Below are 26,973 nucleotides of genomic sequence, written 5' to 3'. Positions count from 1 at the left end.
GAAAACAACTGTCTCTTTACAGGCTGCAAACTACTTAGACATCAAAGGTTTGCTTGATGTTACATGCAAGACTGTTGCCAATATGATCAAGGGGAAAACTCCTGAGGAGATTCGCAAGACCTTCAATATCAAAAATGACTTTACTGAAGAGGAGGAAGCCCAGGTAGGTAGCACACAGTTTTGTCTTTGATCACATGCTCTTAAAAAGGGAGTAACACCTATAACATGCCAGCAAAAGAGGTGACTGTATCAAGTAGTCTTGATACTTTAGGGATAATATGTACTTAATGTGTCTTAAACATACTCTTACTGTTCTGTCTTTATGAATCTGAACACTTAGATGATACTGCATTTTAAGCATAAGAACAATTAGTTTTCAATGAGAAGAGCTCTTGTTAATGTATTAACAGTTACTAGTTTTGGCACCTGCAACTTTCTGTATAGACCATACATATCTGACATCAGAAAAGCAGGCCCTAGAGAGAAGTATATACTAGGGTACTTTAGAGCAACTTAATGAGGGGAGGAAATGAAAGAATAGATCAGAATGATTTTGTTGACATGACTACAGACTGAAATAATGTGAATGAATTAACTGAATTTGCTCTGTCAACTTTAGTAAATTGCCCATTGCCTTTGCTTTGTTCATAATTTCAGCAGGGCAGAATAAAAACCATGGGAGGCAAAGAAAGGAAATCCGGAAATATAGTCTTAACCTGGTGTTGTTCTAATTTTCCATCTGTTCTTCTGACTCAACTCACTGGCTATCGATGAATCAGTAGGTAGTATTTATAAGTCTTAGGAAAGACTACTCAAGTTAAGGTACTTCCCTATATCCATCTCTTTTAGGTACGCAAAGAGAACCAGTGGTGTGAAGAGAAGTGAAATGTTGTGCCTGACACTGTAACACTGTAAGGATTGTTCCAAATACTAGTTGCACTGCTCTGTTTATAATTGTTAATATTAGACAAACAGTAGACAAATGCAGCAGCAAGTCAATTGTATTAGCAGAATATTGTCCTCATTGCATGTGTAGTTTGAGCACAGATCCCAAACCTTACGGCCAAGTTTCTTCTAGTATGATGGAAAGTTTCTTTTTTCTTTGCTCTGAATAAAACTGAACTGTGGGTTCTCTATAAGTGGCATTTTGGGCTTTCCCTCTTTTTTGTAAAGCAATGTCTGCCTAGTTTATTGTCCAGTTAACTTTAGTGACCTTTTAAAAGTTGGCATTGTAAATAAAACAACTTGCAAAAAAGTTTTCTGGAATAGAATTAACAAAATATTATCTTTATTCATGAGTTGGAAACTGGAAAAAGGCTTCTTGAAGTAAATGTTCTGAGTGGAGCTACTAGGATGTCTTCCAGCCTCCTGCAGTCAAGGAGTACCACTGTATTGATTAGCCTGTATGTAGCAGGGCTCCCTTCATTGCATCTGAGGACTTGTTTTCTTTTTCTTTATTTTTAATCCTCTTAGTTTTAAATATATTGCCTAGAGACTCAGTTACTACCCAGTTTGTGGTTTTTTGGGAGAAATGTAACTGGACAGTTAGCTTTTCAATTAAAAAGACACTTAACCCATGTGGGATGTCATCTTTTTATAATTAGTGTTCCCATGTGGAGAAAATTATTCACACTACTTGCATGTAAAGAATAATTTAACTTTTAACATTAAAATATGTGGTAAAACCCAGAAAGCATCCATCATGAATGCAAGATACTTTCAATAAAAAGTAAGTTATATAGTAGGTAGTTAAGTTTGCTTTTGTGGACTTAAATGTGTCTCTTCACTTAAATGGGTTGAATGTGTATATATTTGTTCAGCTTGAAAAGACTTAGTTTATATCCTAGCTCACTGGAGGCTGCTGACATAACCATAACTTCTGTCCCTTCTAATTGTCATTTATATGCCTAACTGGAGCTAGTACTTTAATTCTTAACACAAAATTACTCTGCCATTGTTTCCAGCTTCCCTCCTACAATAGAATGAAGTTTTTTTGATGGCTTGAGATGGCTCACAAATTTTGATTTTTTTTTCTTCCTTGTGCTCCCTTTTTTTCTCCTTGCTTTTCCAGTTAACATCTATATTCACATGTAATCTTGTTTTCTCTTCACATTCACTGAGTTGTTCAGGCTCAGATCATCCCTTGACAGTAGTTTGCCTTCATCTCACCTTTCATTTGTCCCAAATTCACCTTATTTAATAAAGTCCCATATGTTGTCTCACTTAATTCCAATTTGTTGTCTGTACCAGAGATAGGAAACTATAATGTGTGGGTCAAATCAGGCCCATAGCCTGTTTTTGTAGTCTTTGAGCTAAAAATGGTTTTTACGTTGTAAAGAGTTATTTAAAATTCTCTCTCTCTCTCTCTCTCTCTCTCAGGAGATAAGCTTGTTTTCTGTTTGTCCTGGTTTTAGTGGGGAAGGTAGCGGTGTATAGTCCTAGCTGAATTGTCTCATCTACCAATTCCTGCTATTATAAGATCAACTTCTGCAAAAACCTTATCCACCTCAAGTATCCTTAGCAGCTGGGCATGGTGGCTTATGCCTGTAATCTCAACATTTTGGGAGGACAAGACAGGAGGATCGTTTGAGCCCAGGAGTTCAAGACCAGCCTGGGCAACACAGAAAGTCCCTGTCTCTCCAAAAAAAAAAAAAAAAATTAGCAGTCATATGGTGCATGCCTATAATCCCAACTACTTGAGAGGCTGAGGTGGGAAGATGGCTTGAGCCTGAGAGGTCGAGGCTGCAGTGAGCTGGCATTGCACCACTGCACTCCAGTCTAGGCAATAGAGCGAGACCTTGTCTCAAAAACAAACCAGAAGTATCCTTAGCAGTATTATGACAAACAAATCTTCACTGAAGGTCCAGGATTACTGCCATATGCCATGTTTAACTTGTAAAGGAAGTATCACCTTCTAAGAAACTGGAGCTTGTTATTACCACTTGATCTGTATAATACTCAGCAGTAGTTAGAATTATATGAGTAAATAACGTCACTATCCGTATTTAAAGGATAATGAGATCTTTCAGAAAGATTGGATGGACAGACAATATAGTAGTAATTTAAATTTTTGTTTCCTGACTTTCTGTAGTCCCTAAACAAACAACAAAAAATCCTAGTAATCTTAAACTTTTACATTAATAGAGATCCAAGAGAAAATAAGCCATTTTTCACCATTGTGGACCCAAATAAATCATAGACATGGTATTAAGAAGCCCTTTTCAGTCTGGTTGCAGTATTATTTTCCTACCTTTCTTTTTCCTGTTCCCTGCTGTATGCCCACTATTCCTTTAATATATCTACTAGAACTTTTCTAGGCTTTCACCTGGAGTGAGTGGTCCTTTCTCATTATCACAGTAGCCAAACCTCAGTCTTCAAAACTCCACTCATTTCTGGCTACTCTCTTACTTCCCAACTATTCTTCTAAACTAATATTGTGGCATTAAGTCATACCTTGAGGCTGGAGTTTTAGTGTCTTCATGGCCTTGGGCAAGTTGGAAATAGGTACTACGGTTTTATAGATCTAGTGCAGTCTGCTTTATATTAGTTCCAGAACTTCATTGGAAGTCACTTGACAGCAGGATTTAACTTGTATTTAGCAGCACTACTCCATGAATTTCAGTATAAGTAACAGAAGTGAAAAGTCCTTGTGAAATGCAGGTACAGGGCATAATGAAAACAAGAAGAGTAGTTTTAATGCATGAGAGGGGAGAGCTTGATAATAGCTGATAATAGCCTTGGTTTGGAGAGTGGTTACTGATGAATTATGAAGACTTTCTCTAATTACTGTTATAGTAGTAAAGGAAAGAAAACCCTTGTTGATAAAGTAAACTTAGGGATTAATTAGGAAATGCCTTTTATTTCACCAGGAAAGAGAATGAGAGGAAGAAGGTATTTGGCAGATTTGGGTGATTGAAGGATGTTTGTCGGTTTCCTCTGTAAACAACATGCTGCTTTCTGCAGTGTGCTGCTTTTAATGATGAAGTCCTTTCAAGGACTCCATGGCAGTCCTTTGGCTTCTCACCTTTTCATTGATTATGTCACTTGTGATCTAAAAGTAAACCAAAACCTTCCTGAATGTTAGCTTATTATTTTCTCCTTAACATTGTCATAGGCTAAAGATGTGCCCCCTCAAATTCTAATAATTTTTTTTTTTTTTTTTTTTTTTTTGAGACAGAGTCTCACTCTGTCGCCCAGACTGGAATGCAGTGGTGCGATCTCAGCTCACTGCAACCTCCGCCTCCTGGGTTCAAGTGATTCTCCTGCCTCAGCCTCCCGAGTAGCTGGGATTACAGGCACATGCCACCATGCCTGGCTAATTTTTTTGTGTTTTTATTAGAGATGGAGTTTTACCATATTGGCCAGGCTGGTCTTGAACTCCTGACCTTGTGATCCGCCCGCCTTAGCCTCCGAAAGTGCTGAGGTTACACGTGTGACCCACCGCACACGGCCCTAATAATTCTTAAGTTGTAGAAGCAAGTTACTCTTTTGAAGTGCCATGTGTTAGCTTGCCTTAATCTATTCTTGGTATACAAAATAGATACTGCTTTACAGTTCTTATATTTTCTCAGAGATTCACAAAATCATCCTGTAGCTCCCTGTGTGGGATTATAGCTGTGACTTTTTACTCTACAACTGTCAGAATACACCAGCTCCTGGAATTAAGCAAGAACTATATTGTGACTTGGTTGGACAGGTAACTGCAGCCTTGTAACATGACATCATAGTAATGCTGAGCTTATCTTAAAACTAGCTGGGGAGGGAGGATAGTAACAGTGAGTCACTGTGGGCATCTCACTTAGGGCAGGCAGATATTCCAAATCACATTGATTTTTCAGTTTACGTAAAAATTGACCAATCCTATGGGCTGTGTTCTGATCCCAACATAAATTTTGTTTAAGTTAATTTGCCTAGGCTCTCAATAAGGCAGTTTGGGAATATAAGGTGATTTTCCACCAGAAAAGAGAAAATTGAGAGAGCAGCAGACCTCTTGCTCTCAGCACCCTTTACAAGCTTAACTTTTGCTTGCCACCATTAGCTTTTGAAGATTTTTTTTAACTGCTCCTTGCAGAGCAGGACTACCCCATAGGCAGTGTGCCCAGAGTAGCCCGAAGAGCTTTTTGATTCTTCTTTTAAGAGACAAGGTCTCACCTCTGCCCCCCAGGCTGGAGTGCAGTGATGTGATCACAGCTCATTGCAGCCTCGAACTCTTGGGCTCCAACAGTCCTCCTGCCTCAGCCTCCTGAATAGCTAGGACTACATGTGTGTGCTACCATGCCTTGCTAGTTTTTGTTTTTTTAAATTGATTTTTATAGAGATGAGGTCTCCTCATGTTGCCCAGGCTGTTTTCGAATTCCTGGGCTCAAGATCCTCCTGCCTCAACCTCCCAAAGTGCTGGTATTACAGATGTGAGCCACAGCACCCACCAATTTTTCCTTTTCTAAAGCTCAGTGTACATTCTGGTAGGAAGGAATCAACCAAGTAAATGTTCTCCCTACAAAGTTGTTTGAGGATTTGAAAAGTTAATCTTCAATTATCTGGATTTGAAACCAGTCTATAACTTTTTAAGCTAGGAAGAAGTCAAGAATAAGAAGATTGCAAGCAAAGGGAAAGCTTACAAAATGGCTGAATCCTTAAAGTGTAGCTCCTGGCTTCTCCTTGGTAGGAAGCATTAGACATGGTTTCCCTCTAGGGAGCTGGGAGCTTTTGGTGTAGTTCAGGAGAGAAGGCATAAATACTGCTGGGAGGGAGTGGATAACTCTAATAAAAATGTTCCTGGGCTGGGCACGGTGGCTCACGCCTGTAATCCCAACATTTTCAGAGGCTGAGGTGTGCAGATCACGAGGTCAAGAGATCGAGACCATCCTGGCCAACATGGTGAAACCTCATCTCTACTAAAAATACAAAAATTAGCTGGGCGTGGTGGCACATGCCTGTAGTCCCAGCAACTCGGGAGGCTGAGGCAGGAGAACCGCTTGAACCCGGGAGGCGGAAGTTGCAGTGAGCCGACATCACGCCACTGACTGCAGTCCAGCCTGGCGACAGAGCGAGACTCCGTTTCAAAAAAAAAAAGTTTCTGGACAGAACAGATTAATGAGCCAATGGGGGGCTACAGAGCTGAAAGGTGCTACGAAAGGTTTTGTAAAGTGAAACTAATTTGGTTTCAAGAATCAAGTTGGATTTGTTTGGGGGTGGACAGATGCCAAAGTGAGGAAAAAGCAGTGCACAGTCAGGAACTAACAGCAGAAGGTTGGGTGTTGGTACATTTCCCTGAGAATATAGACTAAAGAGAAATTAGGGCAGGATTAGTCACAGTACTTTGCTGACACTCAGTAGTATTTTATCAGCATTTATTCATCAGACCCACATTAGGCAGGGCAATTTTTGAGTGAGCTAAATTCTAATTTTTTTAATTTTAATTTTTATTTATTTATTTTTTGGCTGTTCAACTAAACCAGTCTTTTGAATGTTGGGGGTTTTACAGTTAGAGTCCTGATGACTTTTTCTTGTTTACTGTTGTTAAAAATCACTACCTCCAGTGGTCACAGAGAATGAGTAAGAGAACTGGCTGTGCATATCAAGATGAAGTATGGTGTAAGAAATATTTCAGAGCATGTCCTTTGGCCCAAGATTGAGCCATTTGGACACCTAAGCAGGATTGGCTGAATGTTATCCTTTCTGCTGAGGCATCAGTGGAGATGATCATTAGTGGTGGCCGAAAAGTGTTGTCGAAGGTGCTCTTGCTTGACACACTTCCAATGCGGGACATAGTTTGAGTGATAGATGGCTAATTCATTGATAATGTACTTGTTGCCTTGCAGTCTTGTGTACTGCTGGCTACCTCTGGTCTGTGTGCCAGTATTGAGCAGCATTCTATGGGAGGAATGTAGTTGCTCATAACAGTGTCTGCTTCCACATCTGTAGTTCTTGCGACCTTCTGATATCTGTCAACTTTAAATTTTCTGGAAGTATTTAAGTATATTCAGACCTTCTGATATCTCTTAACTTCAAATTTTCAACCTGCTATATAGCAGCCTCTTATTGCACACTGAGGATCAGCTTATTTCCTTAAAGTGCTCTCACTTTGAATACCTCCCACCTATCTGGTGAAAATTCTTATTTGTCCTTTCTTTCCTGAATGTACCATTTCACAACCTCTAACTGCCTTCTTCAGTTGCTTTGCAGATTTTTCTGTTCCAGGAAGCTTACGGAAAGGGGTGGGAAAATAGAGAAGCTGTACTCTATCCTCAAGTACTCAAGCAGGGTTTCCAGAGTGGCTTTGTAAAAATTTTTATTTATTTATTTATTTATTTTTGGTGAGTGGAACCTGGCTTTTCCTCTTCCCTCCCCAAGCCCCACCCCGCTTCCTGACATTGCACATGCCTGAAAGAACTAGGCTTCAGATAAAAGAATGAGAACACTTGAATGAAAAAGGAAGACTTGGTCCAGAGCCCCTGGTGAATATGAAAGAAGTATTGGCCTGGACTATCTCCCGCATAATTCACAGCTGCTATCTTGTCTTCAGAAGTGAAACATCCCTTACCAATAGTGACCTAACTTGTGAGGACTGCTTGTGATAGTATAGTTCCCACCCCCAGGACATAAGTTTTCCCTTTCCAGTTAACATGCCTAATCCCATGCTATCTTTAAGAGCTTGAAAATCCTTCCTGACCTGAGCTAGGCTTTTATTCTAAGGGACTGTGTATGTGAACATCCCCACCATCTATGTTTCCTGTTTTCAAACTCGGTGCCGTTTTGAGTATTTTCAGATGCTCACTGCCAGTAATGGTTTGTTAGTAGCTCCAAACTATTAGAGAAGAGCTCAGGAGTCAGAATTTGAAAGATGCCCATAGGGTGATTTGAGATTTGGAACAAGGTTATCACAATAAGTTGGGATTGGGGGAGTTGACACAACCAGGGTCTGCTTGGGTGGGCAGCTGTTTCAGAAACCCTTGGTGAACTCTTAAAGCCCTGAAGAGCTTAAAAAATGCTCTGAAGAGATCTGAGAGTCGCAGTTAAGGACTCTCAAAGAACCTCAAAGAAAAGCCAACTTAGCCTTTTTATACAATTAACTAGATTTGGGTCTTAAATTCTACTTTGACATATAGGCCTAAGAGGTAGTTTAACATGGCCTTGTTACCCTTACCCCTTCTGTTCTGTGCTGTTTTCTGAGAAACGGATGCAGGAACTGATTCCCTTTCTTCCTCTCTGGAACAGGATATAAAGAACCCTTCCGCTTCCCTTTACTTGTGGCCTTCCTGGCCAGGCTTATGTATACTGAACAAAGCTAGGGTGCAGTGCTTCTGAGCTAGCTGTTAGGGGTCCACAGCCAGAAGGAATGGGAGACCACAGGAGCCATTCAAAAGATAATTACATGTCAGAAGAGAGTCCATCCATGGGGTTCTGTTAAAGTAGACACCTTCACGTTGGGAGACATAGGCTTTGTCTGCTTGCTGGGCTGAACCCTCACCATATCCACAGAGAACAAAATGGGGAGCAGCTGTACCAGGGGAGGGATGAACGTCTTTCACCCAAGTTGCCAGTCTGCTAGTTGTCTGGAAATGTTCAAGGGAGGCTAAGGTATCTTGTCTTATGATGTCTCAGGAAACAGGGTTGGTTCTCAGCTGGCAGTGAAGGGGGACTGGTGTGGTATTAGCAGTTGAACTTGAGGTTGCAATCTCAAGTCACCCTCTGGCCTCGCAGGAATGCACCAGGGTGATTTGGGAGGATCTGAGTTTCCTTTATGAAGTCAGATTAAAAAAAAAAAAAGCTGATCTGATTTAAACAGAGTTGCCAAAGACTTCCCCGCCAATACACAAAGACTGCATTGTTCAGGTACCCTGTGTACTCTAAGTGAGACACCAAATCAGATGCAGCAACCTGGTCTTGCATAAGCCCTGGTTAGAATGTAGGTTTTTTAAACAACTAGGCCAGTAGCCAGAACAGAATTCTTTAAAATGGGACAGATGTCCAGAGAATGGCTAGTGTCCTCTAGCACTCTCTCAGAAGCAAAAGCAAGTCTGGGGTTACAACTTCCAGTGGCCTACTTTAAATAGACGCTGTTCTGGAAAATGACTTTATACTTTAAACACAAAATCCAAAAAATAGAACTCAGTGGAGTGACAATGACAATGCATGATGGTGGCCCAGTGGCTGTCCCATGTGAAATACTTCTTGCCTGACATGTATCATCTACTTGTTGACTGACCTATTGAGGTGCCTTCATGACACCTTTTACATTCATGATAGGTCTCAGGAAGACAGCAGTGTACTTGGTGGAAACTCATGTAAAAAGTGGGTTGTAGGGAGCTAAACAGTGAGTACACATGGTATATGGATACGGAATGGAATAATAGACATTGGAGACTTCAAAAGGTGGGAGATGAAAGGGGGATGAGGTATGAAATCCTACCTGTTGAGTACAATGTACACTACTTACGTGCACAGTACACTGTTTGGGTGAGAGGCACACTAAAAGCCCGGACCTCACCGCTACCCAGTATGTTCATGTAACACAGCTGCACTTGTACCCCCTAAATGTATACAAATAATCTAAAAATAGCCCGGACCTCACCGCTACACAATATATTCATGTAACACAGCTGCATTTGTACCCCCTAAATGTATACAAATAATCTAAAAATAAAGTGGATATGGTGGCTGTCGTGTCCACCAACAGCGTATGTAACTTTTTAAAAAGTGGGTAATAGATTTATCAAACTTGAAGGCTTGTGTGAAAATATGAAAAATACTTTGCGTCTTAACAGATGCAGTCTTTGGGTGCAGCGCACCAGCACGGCACATGTATACATATGTAACTAACCTGCGCATTGTGCACATGTACCCTAAAACGTAAAGTATAATAATAATAATTAAAAAAAAAGATGCAGTCTTTGGGAGGAAGGGGTGCTATTAAAAAATCCTCCTTTAGGATTTTGTGGTGCTAATAGGTTATAAAAGACTCGTTTGCTCTTGTTTTCCTTGAAATAGGATATGCACTTGTGGAATGTTTTCTTTTCTCTCTGCCCTCAGAGGAAAATGGAGCCTAGTGGTCATGTGTACCTATTTCAGGTTGAATTGTCTTGTCAGCCTTTATGGACGGCAGTTGGCAACTCATTTATTCTTATATGAGCACTGGGGAGCAGGCTGGCCTGCATCATTGTGGGGTTAAGAGCAAAGCTTGGAATGGGAGTATAGGCATAGCTCTCAGGTGAGGCAGGCAGGGCCCACACCCCTTTAGGGGAGATGACAAGTGTAATCCCTGGTTTCTACAGGCTGGAGGTTTGGGAACATATGTACCATAGGAAACAAACTCCAAGTTTCCTGACTGTGGAGAAGGAAAGGAAAGAATATCATGCTCTGTTACTGAAACAGCTTATTCCTCAGGGTCAGGCTTTGAAAAACAAACCCAGTAAAAAGTATCTTTATTCTCATGTTTAAAAGTTTTTCTATGATGATGCATTAACAATACAAAAATATTTTGAACACTACAATAATCTTTTTCTCAAGACTTCTTGCAGTGTTACACTAGAATATGTGATCTTTGGATTCTGAGAAACCAGTGGCTAAAGTAGGAACTAAAGGCTTTTTTTGAGGGGTGTGTGAATACATGGACAGCCCTTTTTTTTTTTTTTTTTTTTTTTTGAGATGCAGTCTCCCTGTTACCCAGACTGGAGTGCAATAGCGCCATCTCGGCTCACTGGAACCTCCGCCTCCCGGGTTCAAGTGATTCTTCCGCCTCAGCCTCCCGAGTAGCTGGGATTACATGCGCGCACCACCACGTCCGGCTAATTTTTGTATTTTTAGTAGATACAGGGTTTCACCATGTTGGCCAGGCTGGTCTCAAACTACTGACGTCAGGTGATCCACCTGCCTCGGCCTGCCAAAGTGCTGGGATTACAGGCGTGAGCCACCGCGCCTGGCCCGGCAGCCCTTTTTCTTTGGATTTAGGCAAAAAACAAAAATTAAATTAAAGACTTGTTTTTCAAGGCTGAGGGTTGAAGCTTGGCTCAAAAATGGGTTAACGTAGGCTATGGTGAAAACCTGTTGTCCACTACTGGAGGTTTTCTGGGCTCCTTGATCTAGTTGTAATGGTCCTCTGTCCCGCAGCCCCATGGGGAAACTGGAGCCGGCCAGGCGGACTGAATGCTGAAAGACAGGCTCTGGCTGTCATGAGGTTTTGGGTTTGCCCTCTCAAGCTGCCCAGGAGCTGGCTGGACTGCCATAGATGAACTGGAAATGGAATTGTGAAAAAGGCTCTGTGAATGGGGAGGGGTGCACACTGGATTTGGGCCATGACTTCTTTGAACTGTTGACTGCAGCTGCTAGTGACAAGCCTGGGGCCAGAGCTTCTTAGGCTGGTGGGTTTCTCAGGGAACACTTCCAAATAATTTGAACTAGAGCTAGATACACCCTCCCCTCCCCAATTTGCCTGATAAGGTAGTGTCAGATTATTTCTGTTGCTTAGGTTGATAGGCCTAAACTTAACCTATTCCATTCCCCTTCCTGCTTCTTGCAAGCTCCTGAGATCATAGTAAGGGGCTTCCTCTGGTCCAACTTATGAGTAGCAGCTGGTTTTGTTTTTGTTTTTATAAACAGAGCTTCTCCATTTCCTTAGAAGAGCTGTCATCTTGAGCTTTGTGCTTGTGACCATGCTCACATGTTGTTTGACAAACCAGCTCATTCTTGGTCCATGAAGTGTCTGAATGGGGAGGGTGTGGCAGTGGGGGATGGGGGAGATGGGTAGAGAAGGTAGCTAGGCTCAGTTCAGCCCATCTCTGACCTATAGCAGAAAAGCTAGGGAGGCAGAGGCTTCTGGCTGGCAAGACAGATGGTACAAAGAATAGATGCAGGCAGCCATAGGTACAAGGGATTCCCTTAATTAGATGACACATCAAGACAGATCTGATTCCCACCACTTGGAGCAGTTTGAATCGATGACCCCAGGTTCAGGCAGAAGTCCTGCAGCCTCTGAAATCTTCAGGGTCTGGACCCTGAGATGACGTTAACAGGACCCCTGGCCAGTTTCCATGAGATCTGGGTCTCTGTCACTTTCAGGGGGTAGGCTCCTGGAGGCGGCCAGGTGTCCTGTGCCTGCTAGGCCACCTGTCTCTGAGATTCCTGTTGCTGTACCTGTGTGCTCTGCAGGGTGCTGCGGGGGGCCTGTGGGGGCCCTGGGGTTGGGAGGCTGAGAGCAGTGGAGAGACCTGGGGATGTAGGTGCCGGCTCCGCAGGGCTAGTAAGCAGTTCTGTGGGGAAGCGGGGCAGCAGATGGTATGAGGGTGAGTCCTGGGGAGCTGGGGACCCGGGGCAGCCTAGAGCACTGTCATCGGAAGGAACGGGGCTGGGGCAGCGGCCTTCTCCGGGTAAGTACCGAATGCATTTCTTTTTCCTCCTAGGAATAGTGAAGAGAGTTATCTGTAAACAGAGGGTGAATTCATAGTCATACACCACAACCAAAAAATGCTGCCTTTGCACAGGCCTGGCTGATTCCTTGTCCTCTCTTCCTGGGACTTGGGTGGTAAGTCAGTGTCCTCAGACTGCCATTCTGCTTGGTCTGGCCCAGACCTAGGACAGGTGCAGTTCCCAGAACAGCCACAAGGTGGCAAAGGGGCCTTTTGTCACTAGGCCTATGGGCTGTCATCTGTCTTCCAAGGGAGTCATCTCTCCTGTCTTCCAAGGGAGTCATCTCCCAGTCCCGGCCTTTGAGCTTCTCCAGATGTGTTTGTGGGACTCACATCTGCACCAAGGCAAGGGGCCGCAATGCCTATGGCTTCCTTGCCCAGCCATCCCAGTCCTCAAGCTGGGCTAGAGGAAGAAGACATGGACAGTGACTCTTGTCCATTACCATCCTTGAGTTCTCTGGGCCAGTTTGTCTCTGATGGAATGAATGGAATAGAACTTCCCCTGAAGACAGGGTTGTTTCCCACCGTGCATATGTATGTGGATACACAGACACACCCCAAACTCCTCCTTGCCCTTGGACAGGGAGTGTGGTGGGTACACTGAGAGGCTGGACAAGTGTTCCTTAGAGCCAGTGGCCTTACTGCCTGGAGTACCCTCTATCTTAGCCCTGCCAGGCCTGGCCTGAAACTGACTGAGGAAACTTTAACCACTTGTTGGGTAAACCTTGTCACACCCACAAGTATTTCTCTGTTGTATGGTGAAACACATGAGCCCTTTCCCTCAGACAGCCCAGGGTACCCCCTGGGTCCTCTCCCCCAGCCTCTCCAGCCCTTTGGTATCAGTAGGTACAAGATAGCAAGTCATAAGGCTACCTGGCAACCAGATGGTTCTGTGTTGTTGTCACCTTGCTTTTTCAGATTAAGGGCTCAGGATGGTACAGGCAGGGATCCCATCTTGAAGAGGAAGTGAGGGAGCCCATGGGCCATAATGACTTTGAGGCCTGGTAGAATGGGCTCCAGGCCCCCTTAGTGGTGGCTGAGCTGTCTGTTTGCTGAGGACCTGCTAGGCCCACTGGCATCAGAGCTGCCTTCTTGAGTCTGTCCTTCCTTTCTGGAACATTCTGTGTCTTTCTCTCCAATCCTCCTGCACTTAGACCCAAGTGGTCTTCTCCACGCGCTGTGTTCAGTATTTACTACTATTCTCAGGAGGCCTGGGCTCCCAATCTGCTGAGTATGCTAGTGGGCTGAGGGGCCAAAGGAGTGGGCTGCAGGCCCAGTGGAACATGTGCAGAGTCAGGGAAGCAGCTTAAAGCAAAGGGAGAACGATGGTGGGGACAAACCCACCTGCACGGACCACACCAATCCGTCTGCTGGTTGAGGCCAAAGCGAGCACGGCATTTCTTAGGCGAGCCAGGGTCTGCTCACAGCCATGCCAGAGGGGTAGAGCAGGGCAGAGGGCGAGCAGGCAGCGGGGCAGAGCAGGGCCCAGAAAGAAGAGGTAACATCAGTGTTAGCCAGTTATAGACACCCTACAGCCCCCATAGGCAGAGTGGGCCTCTCCATGGCACAGCCAGCCCCAGTGGGAGCCCAAGAGCCCAGAGCCAAGATATCAGGAAAGGTGGGCACCCAGGTACGCAGTAGAGGCAGTGGGAAGAATGGGAGGGAGGGAGTCCTGTCAATCTGGCTCATCTCTGTGGCTTGTGGGGCCCTTGCAGCATGGAGGCTGCAGAGGGGCCCAAGGAAGACCATGGAGATCCAGCCTTTTATGCCCTAGGGCCACCCACCTCCTCCCCAACTCCCTACCCATTTTATCCAGTTTTTCTTCATTCTTGACCTACATTCCTTCAAGGGATAAGGCTGAAGGCTATACCTTATGCTGTTCTACACACTTGCAGATGGAAGGAAGGGCCTATTCTTTGCCTTGGAAAAAGGGCTAGGAACTCTGCCCTGCTCTGTCCCAGTCCTAGCCTCCAGCTTCCCTGTGTGGGGACAGCACGGCTGAGGTGGTCAGGGATGTGGAGTCTCAGTTACCAGAGAGGCAGGAATTCACCCTTAGGAAGGAGGCCTGCAGCAGGGTGTGGGCTTCTCTACATAGAGCACTTTGCACTGCCATGAAAAATGTTGAAGTGGGGGTGATAAATTGCCAGGCTCCAGCCAGTAGGCTGTGTGTCTACTGGGCCTAGTCATGGGGCCTAGCTCAGCCTCTCCCAGTCTCAGCAGAACTAGCCAGGACATTGTTTGGGCTAAGCATCAAACCATACAGTCAGTTCTTTGCTGGTTTCTCTGGTGAGTGGAGCTAGCAAAGGTAGTGGGTGCAAGGCAGAGGAACGCACCATCTACTCCAATTCTACCCAGCAGAAGCCAGTTCTGCTGGGTTTCCCTGGGACTTAGTATAATATAGCTGTTTCTTGCATGGGAATTTGACTTGTGAGATGCAGGCCTTGTTTTCATAGGCCCCAGGCCCTGAAGGCTCCTAGCTGGGTACCGCGTTCCTCCCTTTGGGTCAGAGGAGGGCTGCTCTTGAAATGGGGACATGGAGAGGAGCCTCCACTGCTGCTGAGAGAAGGTCTCACCTGTGGTGGATTCTTGGTGCTTTTCCCTCGACCGCCTCTTCTTCTTCCCCTGCAGGGAACAAAAGGAGGGATGCTCAGATCTGGGAGGCAGACATTGGGATACCCACAGCCTGCTGCCTAGCTTGGGTAACCCTGGGATTCTGGGCGTACAGGCCCCTCCTACCTTGGGGTGCTGGTGTTTCTTGATTGCTGGTCTTGCTAGGCTGCTATGGAGTGCATTTAGAAGCTCTTCCCTCACCCCAATCTGGTCTCCAGTTTGAATGGAAGGAGGTGACTTCCAGACCCCTTTCTCCCCTTCTGCCCATGTGGCCCAATCAAATGTTGGGTAACAGCTCATGTGTGAGCATATTCTGGAGTGGAGAATAGGATGTGGGCTTGTCCTCTTCTGAGGCAGCCATGGGAGGCCTTGGACCCTCCGTGCCCTTCCTCATCGGTGCCTTCAGGACAGTAGTTCTGCGTTCCTTACTGAGATTGTGGCCTGGGGCATGGTATCTCAAAGGGTCCCCTGCCCACCCCTGCTGTGTGTCACTAGGCACTCACGTAGTTGTCCCGCGCTGACCAGCCTGGGTATAGCTGCATGTGCAGCTGCCTCTCCTTGCGGGCCAGCTCATAGTACTTGGCCTGCTCTTCTCGCGACAGCGCGTGCCACTGCAACAGGGAAGAGGGGCAGGTGGGGTGCATCAGGGAGTCAGCAGGCTGCACCAGGCTGAAGATGGTCGGGGAGCATCCCTGCCAGCCCACCTGCCCATGGTCTCACCCTGCGGCCCAGGATCTGGTTGATGGCAGCGCTCTCCTTAAGTGTGCACTCTGCAATGACCTTGGCTCTCATCTCCTTCATGTACAGCATGAAGGCATTGAGGGGCTTCTTGATGGTTGGCTTCTTGGCCTCCTTCTCTGCCTTGGACTCTGCTTGTGTCTTCCTGAGGGGCACAAATCCAGATTGTTCAGGAGCCCCCCGAGTGCCCACCTAATTGCAGCCTCCTCCTCTAGCGTGGGCCTAGAGTGTGCCTAAGTGTATGATACCAGAGTTTTCTAAGTGGAATCTTTCCTAGCTGCCCCCAAATGGGTGAGCAGACAGCTAAGTAACTGTTCCTTATAGGAACACTACAGACAAGTGGGAAAAGCATGTGTTAAGGACTTCTGAGCCCCTCCTCTGTTGGCTCAGAAAAATCCTTGTTCCCCATCCCACCCACCCCCTCCTACTTCTGAGGATCAAAAACATAGCCAGAGGCACGAAACAGCTTAGGCAGGGACCTCGTGGCAGTCCTCAGGCCTGGTGGGGAGGCATGTGTATCCTGACTGACACACCCCCTGCCATCATTGTCTTTTCACTCACAGGTTGCGGTCGAAGGGCTGCAGCTCCTGCTTCCCTGAGGGGGGCACAATGGCCGGGTGGGGGATGGCTGCTGGGTGACCAGGTACACCAGAACCTAGCATCAAGGATGGGTGGGTGAACCTGGAGGCAGGAAGAAAGTTAACACTGAGCCAAGAATTATGGGCCAGACCTTTGGACACACACAGAGGCCCCTGCATAATACATAACTTGAGGACACAGGTGAACAGATAGATACTCTATCCTACTGGCCTAGACATAAGTACACAGAGATAAATACAAATACCTGCTCCCAGCACACTACACAGACACACTGCAAAAATCTACATAGATTGCCATTCAGATGGTTACTACATAGGTCCCAAGTAGCTTTTGAATCTGTCCCCTTCTCACGTCCTTCCCCTACCAACCCAGCCTCAGGAGCCTGTGGCTGCCCTGTGAGGCCTCATCCCTCTCCTGCTTGACCCTTCCAGGCCTCTCTCCACACAATAGCCAGAGTAACCATTAGAGACACCTGAATGTTCCTGGCCTGCTTCGGCTGAAATTCCCCCAGCGTCCAAAGAATAGAACCCAGGCTGCTCCCAAGGGCCTGCACAGCCCTGCATGAGCATCCTGCTGCTGTTGCTAGCCCCTTCTCTTCTCCTCTGCTTCCTGTCCCTCTCCGTTCCCCGGCAGCCCCAGTTATGGCTGTTCCCTTGTTTTCTTCTCGCAAAAGATCTATTACTCTTTCCGCGAAGCTCTCCCTGACCCATCAGGCCTGGTGAGGTCTCCTTGGGGCTTCCCCATCACTCAGCTGGCCCATTAAGCTGCCGGTGCCATGTCTACACTTGCTATACTGGGCTGTGAGCTCCAGTGGGCAGCAAATGTCTGTGGAATCCCCTGCCATTGCATATTTGCACTGAGTCTGTCACTGAAGGAGTGACCTAAGTGAAGGGATCCATGTACACACACCTCCCACTTCACTTTCTTGCTATTCTGTGGAGACCATTCTGCCCCTTACTGCTTGCACAGGTATTATCCCTGAGCCAGCAGCCCCTAAGGGTCAGAGGTTGGGGACTTAGGTAAAAGGTGCTGTCTCAGCTTGGGCAAAGCTCAGGGGATGCCCAGGAGAGTCCTTCTAAGTAGGGATGAAGAACAGAGGTGAGTGCACACACATCTGCACACGGGCTGAGCCACATATGCCTGTACTGTCCTGGCCTCTGTGGTGCTCTGCTGCACGGTGTGGCCCAGGCTGAGGCCTCTTGGCACTTGCACTAGCTTCATTCTCAGGCACAGGACAGCAGGGGGCTGCAAAATGACAGACGGACAGATGGACAAACGACTAACACAGGGCAAGCACTGGCCTGGGCATGGCCTTGTGTGGGCTCTGAAGCCTGGGCAACAGGAAGCAGGAGCCTAGCTGCAGTGTAGGGGACTCACCTGGGGTAGGGGGCGCCAGGGGCTGCAGTGGGGGCAGGGAAGTGCTGTCTATATCCGCAGGAAGGGGACAGGGGGTAGAGAGGAGGGCTGGGCCTGTGGTTGGGAGAGATAGCTGTTAGCAGTCTGGCTGCTGGCCAGACACGAGGAAAGACTTCCCTACCTTGCTAGGCAGGCCTTGACCCATCCTGTGAGACAGATGGGCCTCTGCTGGAATTTCAAGCATCTGCCACCAGAGGGCAGCTTGTGCGGTTTCCCTCTATAAACTTGTATGGGTGCTTGAGGGATGGAAATGGTATCCTTCTCCTGGGACCCAGCTTAGCAGGCCCCTGGGCCCCTCCAGCCTGCTTCTGTTTCTTTGACGGTATAGGGCTGATATCTGTCCTGGGGCCATTGCAGCCACTGTTAACACTGGATTGTTTTGCACCACTTTGCCTGCTTCAATTCCTGGTCATCCTTCAGGTCTTCCTTAGCTAAGTGACCCTTCCTCCTCAAATCCCTGAGATTCCAAGCTGGATGAGGTACCTCTCTGGGCTCCTACAGTCCCTAACTAGAGCACTACCAACAGTGCCCTGTAACTGTCTGGTTTTTTGCCTGGGTTGCCCACGAGGTAGACTGAGTTCTGAGAGGGCAGGGACCTAACGATCAGTTGGCTTCAGCAGTGCCGACTTCCCTGGTGCCCAGAACCCTGCCCGGCACACAATAGGGCTCAGTGGAGAGATGGCTTAAATACCCCTACTTCTTTCCTCACAGCCAAGTGCCACCGGGTGGAAGCCGAGAGCACAGGGCTGCCTGAAGTCCCCTCCTTACAGCCTTGGTGGGTAAAATCTGCTGTAGGCTCAACTCTCTTGGTCTTCAGCACTGCTGGCCTAGGGGATGCTTTTGAAAGGCTGGCCTACAGATTTGCATCCACGGAACCCTGGTCTAGTCCAGTAAGGCTGGGCTCTTGAGCATCTTGCCACGCTTTGATCCTAGGGGTATTCATGGGAGTAGTCTTAATTTGTATTCAGAATGGATTGTCCAAGGAGAAGCTGGAACGGAGGAGGGTGCTGACCATGGGTAAAGGGCAAGTGGGCCACAGGTTGGGCCTCTGGCCTGCCCGATCTCCTTGGGGAGCCAAGTTTTCCTGCTGTTGGGTGACTGCCACAGCCCAGCTCTCTGAAATAGGCTAGAGACCTGCGCAGCTCAAACTATCGTTGATGAGTAAAGGGCCAAGTAGCCTGCCAAGGCCCAACTCCAGCTGAGGACAGGCCCTTTGGCCCATAGTCAGGCCTACTGGCTTAGGGGGCCAGGCTTCCTTTTCCTGGTCCAGCCTTAAGAATCTCCAAGCAGGCTGGTCAGAGGCTTGGGCTTAAGCAGGCACCACAGGGGCAGGGAGGGACACTGCCCCTCAAGCAGCTCAGCCAAGGAAAGGACCAAAAGCAGTAGGCACTGAGGCCAGTGAGCTGAGAAGCAGCAGCCTCTCTGGTAGCCACTCATGCTGTCCCCTCCCTGCTCGGGCCCACCTTTCTTCCTCAGTTACTCATATGGCCCTGGAGGTCCCTTAGCAGCCCAGAGTTCTCCCATCTAAGGGGATCTCTTGGACACTGAGGGAGACAGGGCTGGGACCAGGGACCAGCTCTCCTGCCTCTCCAAAGGGAGTATGTCAGGCTCCCTGGGGAATGCAGGCCGGGGTACATGAGGACCCCTAGCTCAGAGCCAGGTTAGGACAGAGTTGCTGGCCAGCCCCTGGCATCTAAACAGAGCTGGCAGCAGGGTGGCCAGCCAAGAGGGATGGAGGAGGAAATGGAAGGGCAGGCAGGTCTTGGTCTGACCAGCACACGGTACCCCTTTCCCATTGGGCCCACACTCACCAGCTCACAGTGTGGGGGAGCTGCCCCATGCTGCCTGAGGTCAGGGAGTAGAAGCCAGAGAGGTCAGGGGTCTGCAGAGGCCTGTGAACTGCAGAGGAGAGAAGCTGAGTGAGTGGGCTAGCCTGACCTGGCAGGCCATATCAGCAGTTACTGCATCCTAGAACCTCCTACAGGGGCCTTAAGATCCCACCAGCTTTGCTAGAGGACCAGACATAAACTAGTTTATTCAGGAGGATCCCAGTGTGATAATAGTGCCCCTTTGACAGACAAGGGAACCCAGGGCAGAGGGCTGGGGTGACTTGCCTAAGACATTAGGGGGCCAGTAGGCAGAGCTGAAGTCACTCAGGCATGGAGGCATTGGGGCATCTCTGCTCGGGGGACTCCAGCCTAGCTTTCTGGGCAGGAGGCAGGCCCCTGGTCTAGGGGAGCCCAGCCTGGGGAGCCAAGGCTCCACCTGCCCCCCAGGGTTGAGTCAGCAGGTTTCCCACAGCTGACAATGAGGGATTTCAGAATGACTTTGCCTGAGGCTGAGGTGAATCAGCCATCACAACCACCACTTTCCATTTTCTCACTGAGAGGAGGAAAGGCTACAGTTTTACAGTTCTCAGCAATGCTGCCATACTGGCAGCGGGGTCACCCATGGGATTTAGGCTTCAACCTGAAGCCTTCACATTTTGACCTAGCACCACCTTTTCCAGTTTTCTGATGCCCTTATACCCCCAGTCCATCTTTCTGGTATTTTCTTTGGGCCCTTAGTTTGCACAGCCCCAGGTTCTCCAGTTATAAAATGGACCCAGCTACCTGGTCTCAGAAGCTGGGGTCTTGGCCCTTAGGCTCTGGTTTCACTGGGCCCCTCCCCATCCCAGGCTTGTACCTTGCTTCTGGCTGATGTCCGCAGGTGCAGGGGTGGGATGTGGGCTGTTGAAATGTTCGTAGAGAGAGAGTTGGGGGACACCGTGGGGGGGCTGATTGGCCTTGTGCTGAAAAATGAGAAGGAGGGTGGGTGAGTGTGGCGAGTCCTGAGGGAGGAAGACACTGGGATGAGGGTATACAGGAAGCCCAGCTGTCAAAGAAAAGTGGTGGCCAAAACCACAGGCCTCAGCGAAGGGGGTACCACTCAAGTCACAGTGTCCAGTACCCCGCCCACTAGCCCCCAAGACTTTGCCCAAGCAGTCCCACCCCCTAGAAAGCCTCTTGGTCTTTCTGGGCACTCAATTCCTGGAGGTGCGTCTCCCCTGTCCAGAAAACCCTTATTGGCCTCCTCATCTCAGGTTTGGCTTGTCTGGGAGGTTGCTTATAGCCTCCAGCCCCCTAAAGCAGGGCATGGCCTGAGGACCCAGGCCTACCCCAGCACACCCTGGAAGAAGCACAGCTATCTTTCCTCATCTTCTAGCCCCCAGTCTGGGGATTCTGAGTCTGACCATTTGTCTTAGCTCAGGCCTAACAGGATTTTCTGACACAGGGAAGGGCCCTCCTCAATCCCCTAAATCAGGGGAGATGGGGCCTGGCTTCCTCCAGGGCCATCCTTGCCCAGCCCCCGTACTTCCTGTTTCCTCAGCACCGCAGGACTCTTACTTTTCTTTTTTCTCTGTTTTTTTTTTTTTTTTTTTTTTGAGACAGAGTCTCACTCTGTGGCCCAGGCTGGAGTACAGTGGCGCGATCTCGGCTCACTGCAACCTCCGCCTCCTGGCAGTTTAAGCGATTCTCCTGACTCAGCTTCCCGAGTAGCTGGAATTACAGGCACCCGCCACCACACCCGGCTAATTTTTGTATTTTTAGTAGAGATGGGGTTTCGCCATGTTGACCAGGCTGGTCTCAAACTCCTGACCTCAAGTGATCCACCTGCCTCGGCCTCCCAGAGTGCTGGGATTACAGGCGTGAGCCAACTGCGCCCAGCCAAGACTCTTAACACTAGTTGCATTGCTCTATCAAGAGACGATTCAGTCAGCAGGCTGGAAGGAGGGGCTCCCCAGGAAGACCTGGCTGCAGGGAGTCACTGCCAGGGCCAAGGCCCAGCTCTACAGTATCCTCAGTGCACATCTGCACGGGTCAGGGCCCTGGAGACATCATCTGCAACCAAGGTTCAACTTCCCACTTTGAAAAGCCCGTTTGCAAGGATGCTGTTGGCTGGGAGCATGGATGAGTGATCTCTGACTCCTGGCACAGAGGAAACGGGACATCTTTGGAGCAAGTCAGTAATGAGGGGCTGTGGCCTGGGTTCGTCCCCACTCTGTGAGTGCAATTCCTGACTGGGTGAATTTAGCCAGACTCCTTAAGAGCTTCAGGCATCTCTCCTAGTAGTGAATAGGGTTCATGGCCCCTTTATTACCAGGCCTGGAGAAGGGTGGCTCATGGTGAGGAGGCCTGGCACAGTCCCTCGGCACTTGGTTATTGGAAGCCCAGGGCAAGCCTAGATGGAAGGCTGGGTATAAGCCCTGCTGTAGCCAAGACATGAAGCTCCCAGCTGGGCACAGGCTCCCACACCTGCCAGCAACAGCCCTGTTGCTGGCATCTTTCCTCACATTCCTGCCTCCGGGCTACAGCCTTCACCCTTCCCCTCAGGTCTTGGGGAAGGTGCTGACACTGCCACCTGTCAGGGCCCTGCTCATCCATCTGCCCACCGGGAGGAGCCTTACATAACAGGGCTTCACAGGCTTCCTCCTTTCCTCAGGCAGACAGGGGCTGATGTCCCTATAGGTGGCTAGCAAGGAAGAAGAGAGGCTGGGGCAGCTGCAGGGTATGTGGACACATGTGCACTCCTTCAGGTATCTGGTACCTGCCACATGCCAGGGACTGTGTCATGCACTTTGTAAACCCTGTCTCATTCCCATCAGGGTACAAACAGGCTGCCATTTCTCCCATCTCTAAATCCTCCCCCAGCTACCACCTCCTGTCTCACTCCCTTTTACAGAAACCTCAGCAGACCTGTCCCCATTCACTGCCCCTAGTTCTCAGCCCTCATTCTCCCTTCAACCCAGCCAGACAGTCTCTTGCCCCATCCCTCCACTAGATGACTCTTGTCAAAGTCCCAGTGACTTCCACCATCCTGAACTCAATGGTCAATTCTCAGTCTTCATTTTATCCAACCTCTCTGCAGCATCAGACACAATTGGTTTCTCCCACTTCCTTGAAAGAGTTTCTTCACTTGGCTTGCAGAATGCCACACTGCCTGATATTCCTCCAGCTTCATGGGCCACTCCTTCCTGACCTTGTTTCTGGCTCCCATCTTCCTCTCATCTGGGTTTACAGCTTTAAACATCTTCATGTGATGACTCCACATTTCTTCTCCAGCCCCACTTCTAGGAACTCTACTTTCCAAATGCTTACTCAACTCTACTTGGTGGTCTGAAATGCCCCCTAAACTCAACATATCCAGATCGGAACCTCTGACTTCCTGCCCCAAACGCTCCTCCCTGTCTTCTTACCCAGTTAATGGTAACTCCATCCTTTCAGCTGCTCAGACTAAAGATCTTGGAGTCATCCTTGACTCCTTTTTCTCTGATACTCCATATCCAATTTGTCAGCAAATCCTAATGCTCTACCTTCAAAATGTGTCTAGAATCCCACCACTTCCTCCTTGCCCGCACCCAGTCCAAGCCACCATCACTTTGCACCTGGATGACTGCAGCAGCTCCCTCCTTAGACCCATGCTTCTCTCCTGCCCCTCCGCCAGTCCTCAATCCAGCAGCAACAGGAATCAGATCGTGTCACTTCTGCCTAAAGCTTCCAGTGGCTTCCCACGGTATCTCCTGACCTGGGGCCTACAAAATTCTCTGTGGGCTGGGCGCAGTGGCTTCATGCCTGTAATCCCAGCACTTTGGGAGGCTGAGGGAGGAGGACTGCTTTAGGTCAGGAGTTCAAGACCAGCCTGGGCAACATAGCGAGACCTTGTCTCTACTAAAAATAAAATAAAAATAACTAGCTGGGCATGGTGGTGCATGCCTGTAGCCTCAGCTACTCAGAAGGTTGAGGGAGGAGGATCATTGGAGCCCTGGAGATCGAGGCTGCAGTGAGCCGTGATTGTGCCACTGCACTCCAGCCTGGGTGACAGAGTGAGATGCTGTCTCAAATAAGTAAAGCTCTACGTGATCTGGCTCCTGCTCCCTCTGTAACCCCAGCACCTTCTACTCTCTTCCTTGTTCACAATGCCTGGGGCTTCCCATGGGTGCTTTAGCCTCCAGCATCCTTCTTCATTTACTCCAGTGATAATGCTGAAAGTGTGCCATGATGTGAGGTAGGTTGGGAAGCCTGGCTCTAGGCTTGCTGACCTTTTCACTGACCTTTTATTGGAGGATCCTGGGCCAGTCTCATCCTTCTCTGGGGCTGCATTTTCTCTCCTTGTAAAACGGAGATGAGAATACCAGTCCTACTCACCTCATTGGTCACAGATGCAAAAGTTCTCCTCTGTCCTAAAGTTCCAGGGAGAAGGAGCCAAGGGCCTGTTAAAGTAGGAAGTTTCCTGGAAACCCCTGGGGTGTTTTTATCCTAACAGGTTCCTAGAATAACACCAGCCAGCCAGGCAACATCAGCCCTGACCAGGCCTCGTGACAGCTGAGGGCACGGAGACTGAGCCTCAGGGCCTACTCCTTCAGGAACATTGGATCCTGCCAGAAAGCATTCCACCATTCACCACCTTAGGGCACAAATGCCTGGAGCATGGGGGGCTTTCGAGTCTAAGCTCCTGCTTCAGAGGAGGCCTTGCCATCCAGCCTTGGCTCTGGCTCTTTGACCCTTGGGATGGACCGAGCGCCTGGCTAGCAGAATAGGCAGGGAAGCCTAAGGAGCTGAGCCAGGGGTCCACGGTGCCAGCTCTTGGAAGACAGTCCCAGAGTCTCTGCTCTGCCCAGAGTTGGGGCTCTGCCCCAAGGTAGTGAGAGCATGGCTCCATGGTGAGGTTCTCAGTAAACTACCCTTCCCCTGGGAGTAGGTGGTTTACTGAGAAGCTACCCACAGGAGTTTTGGCCAGGAAGCCATGGAGAGCCCTCCTGCCAGGAGTGGGGAGGCCAGAGCTGACCCTCCTTGGCCATGCTGGGCCTGGCCCAGGTCCAGCTTTGCCACCTGAGCCCCAGGTTGCAGCACAGCTCAGGCTGGGCCTAGGAAACCTCCAAAAGAATCCAGCCCAGTCTACAGCTGCTGGCCTGGTACATATGCATGTGATGGGCAGTGCTGCGGGGTGTTGCCTGGCAGGCTGTGGGCTCATTCTGTCTATCAGCCTTCCTTGGGAACTGGGAAAAAACGCACTAAACAGGAGTCTACTGTCAGACCACAGGAGAAGTGCTGGATGGGCAGGGGTGGGGCAGAGAACTCACTGGCAGCTGGAGGTCCTGGGGTGGCCAGGGCTCCAGGGCAGAGCATCAAGGGCCTGGCCAGTCCCTCCCACATTCATGCAGGCTGCCTCTTAGCCTCAATCCCCAGCCCGCTTTGCGCCCGGTGGTAGGAGCCAGGGGAAACCGTCTAGCACAGGGCCTGGCACCCATGTCCCCCTCGCCCAGTGGAACGTCCCACTCCAGGGCCTCAGCACAAGGCTGTCTCAGGGCCAGGCTGCCTAGACAACAGGGTGGGGTCACCTGGGGCCTGGCATGTATATGGGGAGCCTGGTGACTGAAGCCCCCCTCCCCTGCTCTCCCTGATGGTGACTGTGCCCAGCCCTCAATGGAAAGAGGCAGGCCTAGGGTGATTGTCCCCACCAGGCCCCGAGCATTTCAATGGCACACCTTCATCTCTCTTGCCCTCATCCTCTGAGGGCAGAGTACCAAACCTAGAGCTGGGTGCACAGTAAGTGCTCAAAGCATGCTGGGATGTTTAAATGCATTGATGCCTCACCAGCAGTCCAAACTGCTTGATCAGCAAACCCCAGACCCATGCTCTTTGCCTTTGCCCCTCTGTCTCCCCCACCATCCCAGACACCCCAGGGCTACCCTGAGAGTCATCTCTGTCCCACCAGTGCCTGTCCAGCCTTCTACTGGATGCCTGGTGACAGGGCTCACTCCCAGCAAAAGTGGTCCTTCCTGCCACTGCATTGCTCTTACTGCTCAAAGACTTCCTCAGACCACTCCAGTCCACTGTCCCACAGGGGCTCCTCGCCCTTCTGGACTATTTCCTTAGCCCATGGCTAGGAATTCCTCATTCGGGTGCTCCTGCGTGCCTTCTTGTTTACCAGACAGGAGCCCAGAAGACAGCCAGGCAGGGCCAAGCAGGAGGAGATGGAAACGGAGACTCCTGAGGTAGTTCTCCTCTGTTCTGAAGTCAAGCTTGGGCCTGGCTTGGCATCCCCCTTCACCACCCCCCCAACCCGCACCCCCCAACTTCCTGCAGGCTCAGGTGAAAAATAAACACAGTCGGCATTTTCCCTGTAGACCGCAGCGGTCTGCTCGCAGGCTGTGTGCACGCTGACAGCCCTTGCCACCGCCAGCAGAGAAACTCCCTCGCCTCTGACGGTTGACTCTGAAAACCCCCAAATGCTTGAGCCCCACAACACTTTCCCAGCGAAGAAAGTTGCTGTTTCCTCTGGCCTCAAGCCTGTGGGGGGTAGGGGATAGGTGAGGCCTGTTCAGGCCCTCCCAAGAACGCCTCCCAGTGGCAGGGGACTGTGCCAGCAGAAACAGCCCCCCAAGAGATCAGGATGCTCAGCTGGTCGCTATTGGTACCATTTGGTCAGGGTGTATTTATGAGCTCCTATTATGTGCCAGGCAAAAAAATGCTTCAGGCCTAGAGAAAAGCATGTGCTAATGTGAGCGGAGTATTTCCCATGTGTGAGGCAGAGTTCTGAGCACCGTGCAGAGTTGAACTCAGATACTCCTAACATAGACCTATGATATTAGGTACAACTACTACGCCCACCTGACAGATGGGGAAGCTGAGGCACAAGGTCACACAGCTAGTAAGTGGCAGAGCTGGGATGACACCCACGACACTGCAAAGGGCCTATGGTTATTGTGCACAGGACACTGTCCCAGTTCTAAACACAGTCTCTCCCTTTCCCAGCCTGGCTGGTCAGGGTGACCTGAACCAGTGCTTCCCTAACCTGAAAAATGCTCCAAGTTTTAGGACCCCTGGGATGGGGGTTCTGGCTACACTGGCAGCCTGCCTGGTGGCAGTAGTTGAGCATGACCCCAAGGCCCCAGCCATGTCCCCTGCTCACCACGGCACAGCCATGTCAGCCTGCTCCTCCGGCCCAGGTGCCTTCCCTCTGCAATGTTCCATACTTCCTCCTGCTCTGGGCCAGTCTGGCCCACTCTCATCCTGACCTCAGTCTAAGGGTCACTTTGTGGAAAGGCCTGTGGCCTGGCTTGGGGTGCCACCAGCCTAGCTGGCAGAGAGGTTGGCCTGGGGGTCCTGGATGGCAGGGTCTGCTGGTTAGTCATCTCTGTCTGGGCTCTGCACTCAGCAGGCTT

General features: G+C 49.2%; 2 protein-coding genes across 30 annotated transcripts in view, besides 7 other annotated features; one reads left to right on the top strand and one right to left on the bottom strand.

The window, feature by feature from the left end:
* The window catches only part of SKP1 (S-phase kinase associated protein 1), a 28,016-nt gene extending 18,333 nt beyond the window's left edge, over nt 1-9,683 (top strand). The window contains exons 5-6 of one of the 2 annotated variants that reach the window (NM_170679.3): nt 23-163; nt 850-9,683. In NM_170679.3, the coding sequence (NP_733779.1) occupies nt 23-163; nt 850-885 (177 nt within the window). In that variant the 3' untranslated portion in view covers nt 886-9,683. Of the gene's footprint in view, nt 1-22 lie in introns of both variants that reach the window. The other variant, NM_006930.4, reaches the window with a different exon arrangement.
* The window catches only part of TCF7 (transcription factor 7), a 39,993-nt gene continuing 23,427 nt past the window's right edge, over nt 10,408-26,973 (bottom strand). For 6 of the 28 annotated variants that reach the window (NR_033449.3, XM_047417638.1, NM_003202.5 and 3 more), the window contains 7 exons: nt 20,454-20,559; nt 19,580-19,667; nt 16,314-16,433; nt 15,735-15,897; nt 15,518-15,625; nt 14,978-15,026; nt 10,408-12,394 (listed from right to left, as the gene is read on the bottom strand). Coding sequence is in view for 27 of the 28 variants with exons in the window: in XM_047417638.1 (XP_047273594.1) it covers nt 12,315-12,394; nt 14,978-15,026; nt 15,518-15,625; nt 15,735-15,897; nt 16,314-16,433; nt 19,580-19,667; nt 20,454-20,559 (714 nt within the window). In the remaining variant the exon portion in view is untranslated. Of the gene's footprint in view, nt 13,822-14,977; nt 15,027-15,517; nt 15,626-15,734; nt 15,898-16,313; nt 16,434-17,729; nt 17,823-19,579; nt 19,668-20,453; nt 20,560-26,973 lie in introns of those variants that run through there. The other 22 variants (XM_047417640.1, XM_006714682.3, NM_001346450.2 and 19 more) reach the window with 13 other exon arrangements.
* Nucleotides 12,643-12,692: an enhancer, noted in NCBI's record as "active region_23134". NCBI's record gives its function as "activates an Ori minimal core promoter by ATAC-STARR-seq in GM12878 lymphoblastoid cells {active_cell/tissue: GM12878}" and the evidence as "EXISTENCE:reporter gene assay evidence [ECO:0000049][PMID:35858748]".
* Nucleotides 12,803-12,882: an enhancer, noted in NCBI's record as "active region_23133". NCBI's record gives its function as "activates an Ori minimal core promoter by ATAC-STARR-seq in GM12878 lymphoblastoid cells {active_cell/tissue: GM12878}" and the evidence as "EXISTENCE:reporter gene assay evidence [ECO:0000049][PMID:35858748]".
* Nucleotides 18,279-19,256: an enhancer, noted in NCBI's record as "H3K27ac-H3K4me1 hESC enhancer chr5:133475053-133476030 (GRCh37/hg19 assembly coordinates)". NCBI's record gives its function as "activates a minimal SCP1, AML or CMV promoter by ChIP-STARR-seq in naive H9 embryonic stem cells {active_cell/tissue: H9 hESC(naive)}" and the evidence as "EXISTENCE:reporter gene assay evidence [ECO:0000049][PMID:30033119]".
* Nucleotides 19,848-19,957: an enhancer, noted in NCBI's record as "active region_23132". NCBI's record gives its function as "activates an Ori minimal core promoter by ATAC-STARR-seq in GM12878 lymphoblastoid cells {active_cell/tissue: GM12878}" and the evidence as "EXISTENCE:reporter gene assay evidence [ECO:0000049][PMID:35858748]".
* Nucleotides 20,128-20,297: an enhancer, noted in NCBI's record as "active region_23131". NCBI's record gives its function as "activates an Ori minimal core promoter by ATAC-STARR-seq in GM12878 lymphoblastoid cells {active_cell/tissue: GM12878}" and the evidence as "EXISTENCE:reporter gene assay evidence [ECO:0000049][PMID:35858748]".
* Nucleotides 20,308-20,377: an enhancer, noted in NCBI's record as "active region_23130". NCBI's record gives its function as "activates an Ori minimal core promoter by ATAC-STARR-seq in GM12878 lymphoblastoid cells {active_cell/tissue: GM12878}" and the evidence as "EXISTENCE:reporter gene assay evidence [ECO:0000049][PMID:35858748]".
* Nucleotides 25,975-26,284: an enhancer, noted in NCBI's record as "active region_23129". NCBI's record gives its function as "activates an Ori minimal core promoter by ATAC-STARR-seq in GM12878 lymphoblastoid cells {active_cell/tissue: GM12878}" and the evidence as "EXISTENCE:reporter gene assay evidence [ECO:0000049][PMID:35858748]".

Source organism: Homo sapiens, chromosome 5 (assembly GCF_000001405.40).
Source record: "Homo sapiens chromosome 5, GRCh38.p14 Primary Assembly".
NCBI lineage: Eukaryota > Metazoa > Chordata > Mammalia > Primates > Hominidae > Homo > Homo sapiens.
Note: the sequence above shows the minus strand (reverse complement) of the source record. Positions and strands in the feature narration are given on the sequence as shown.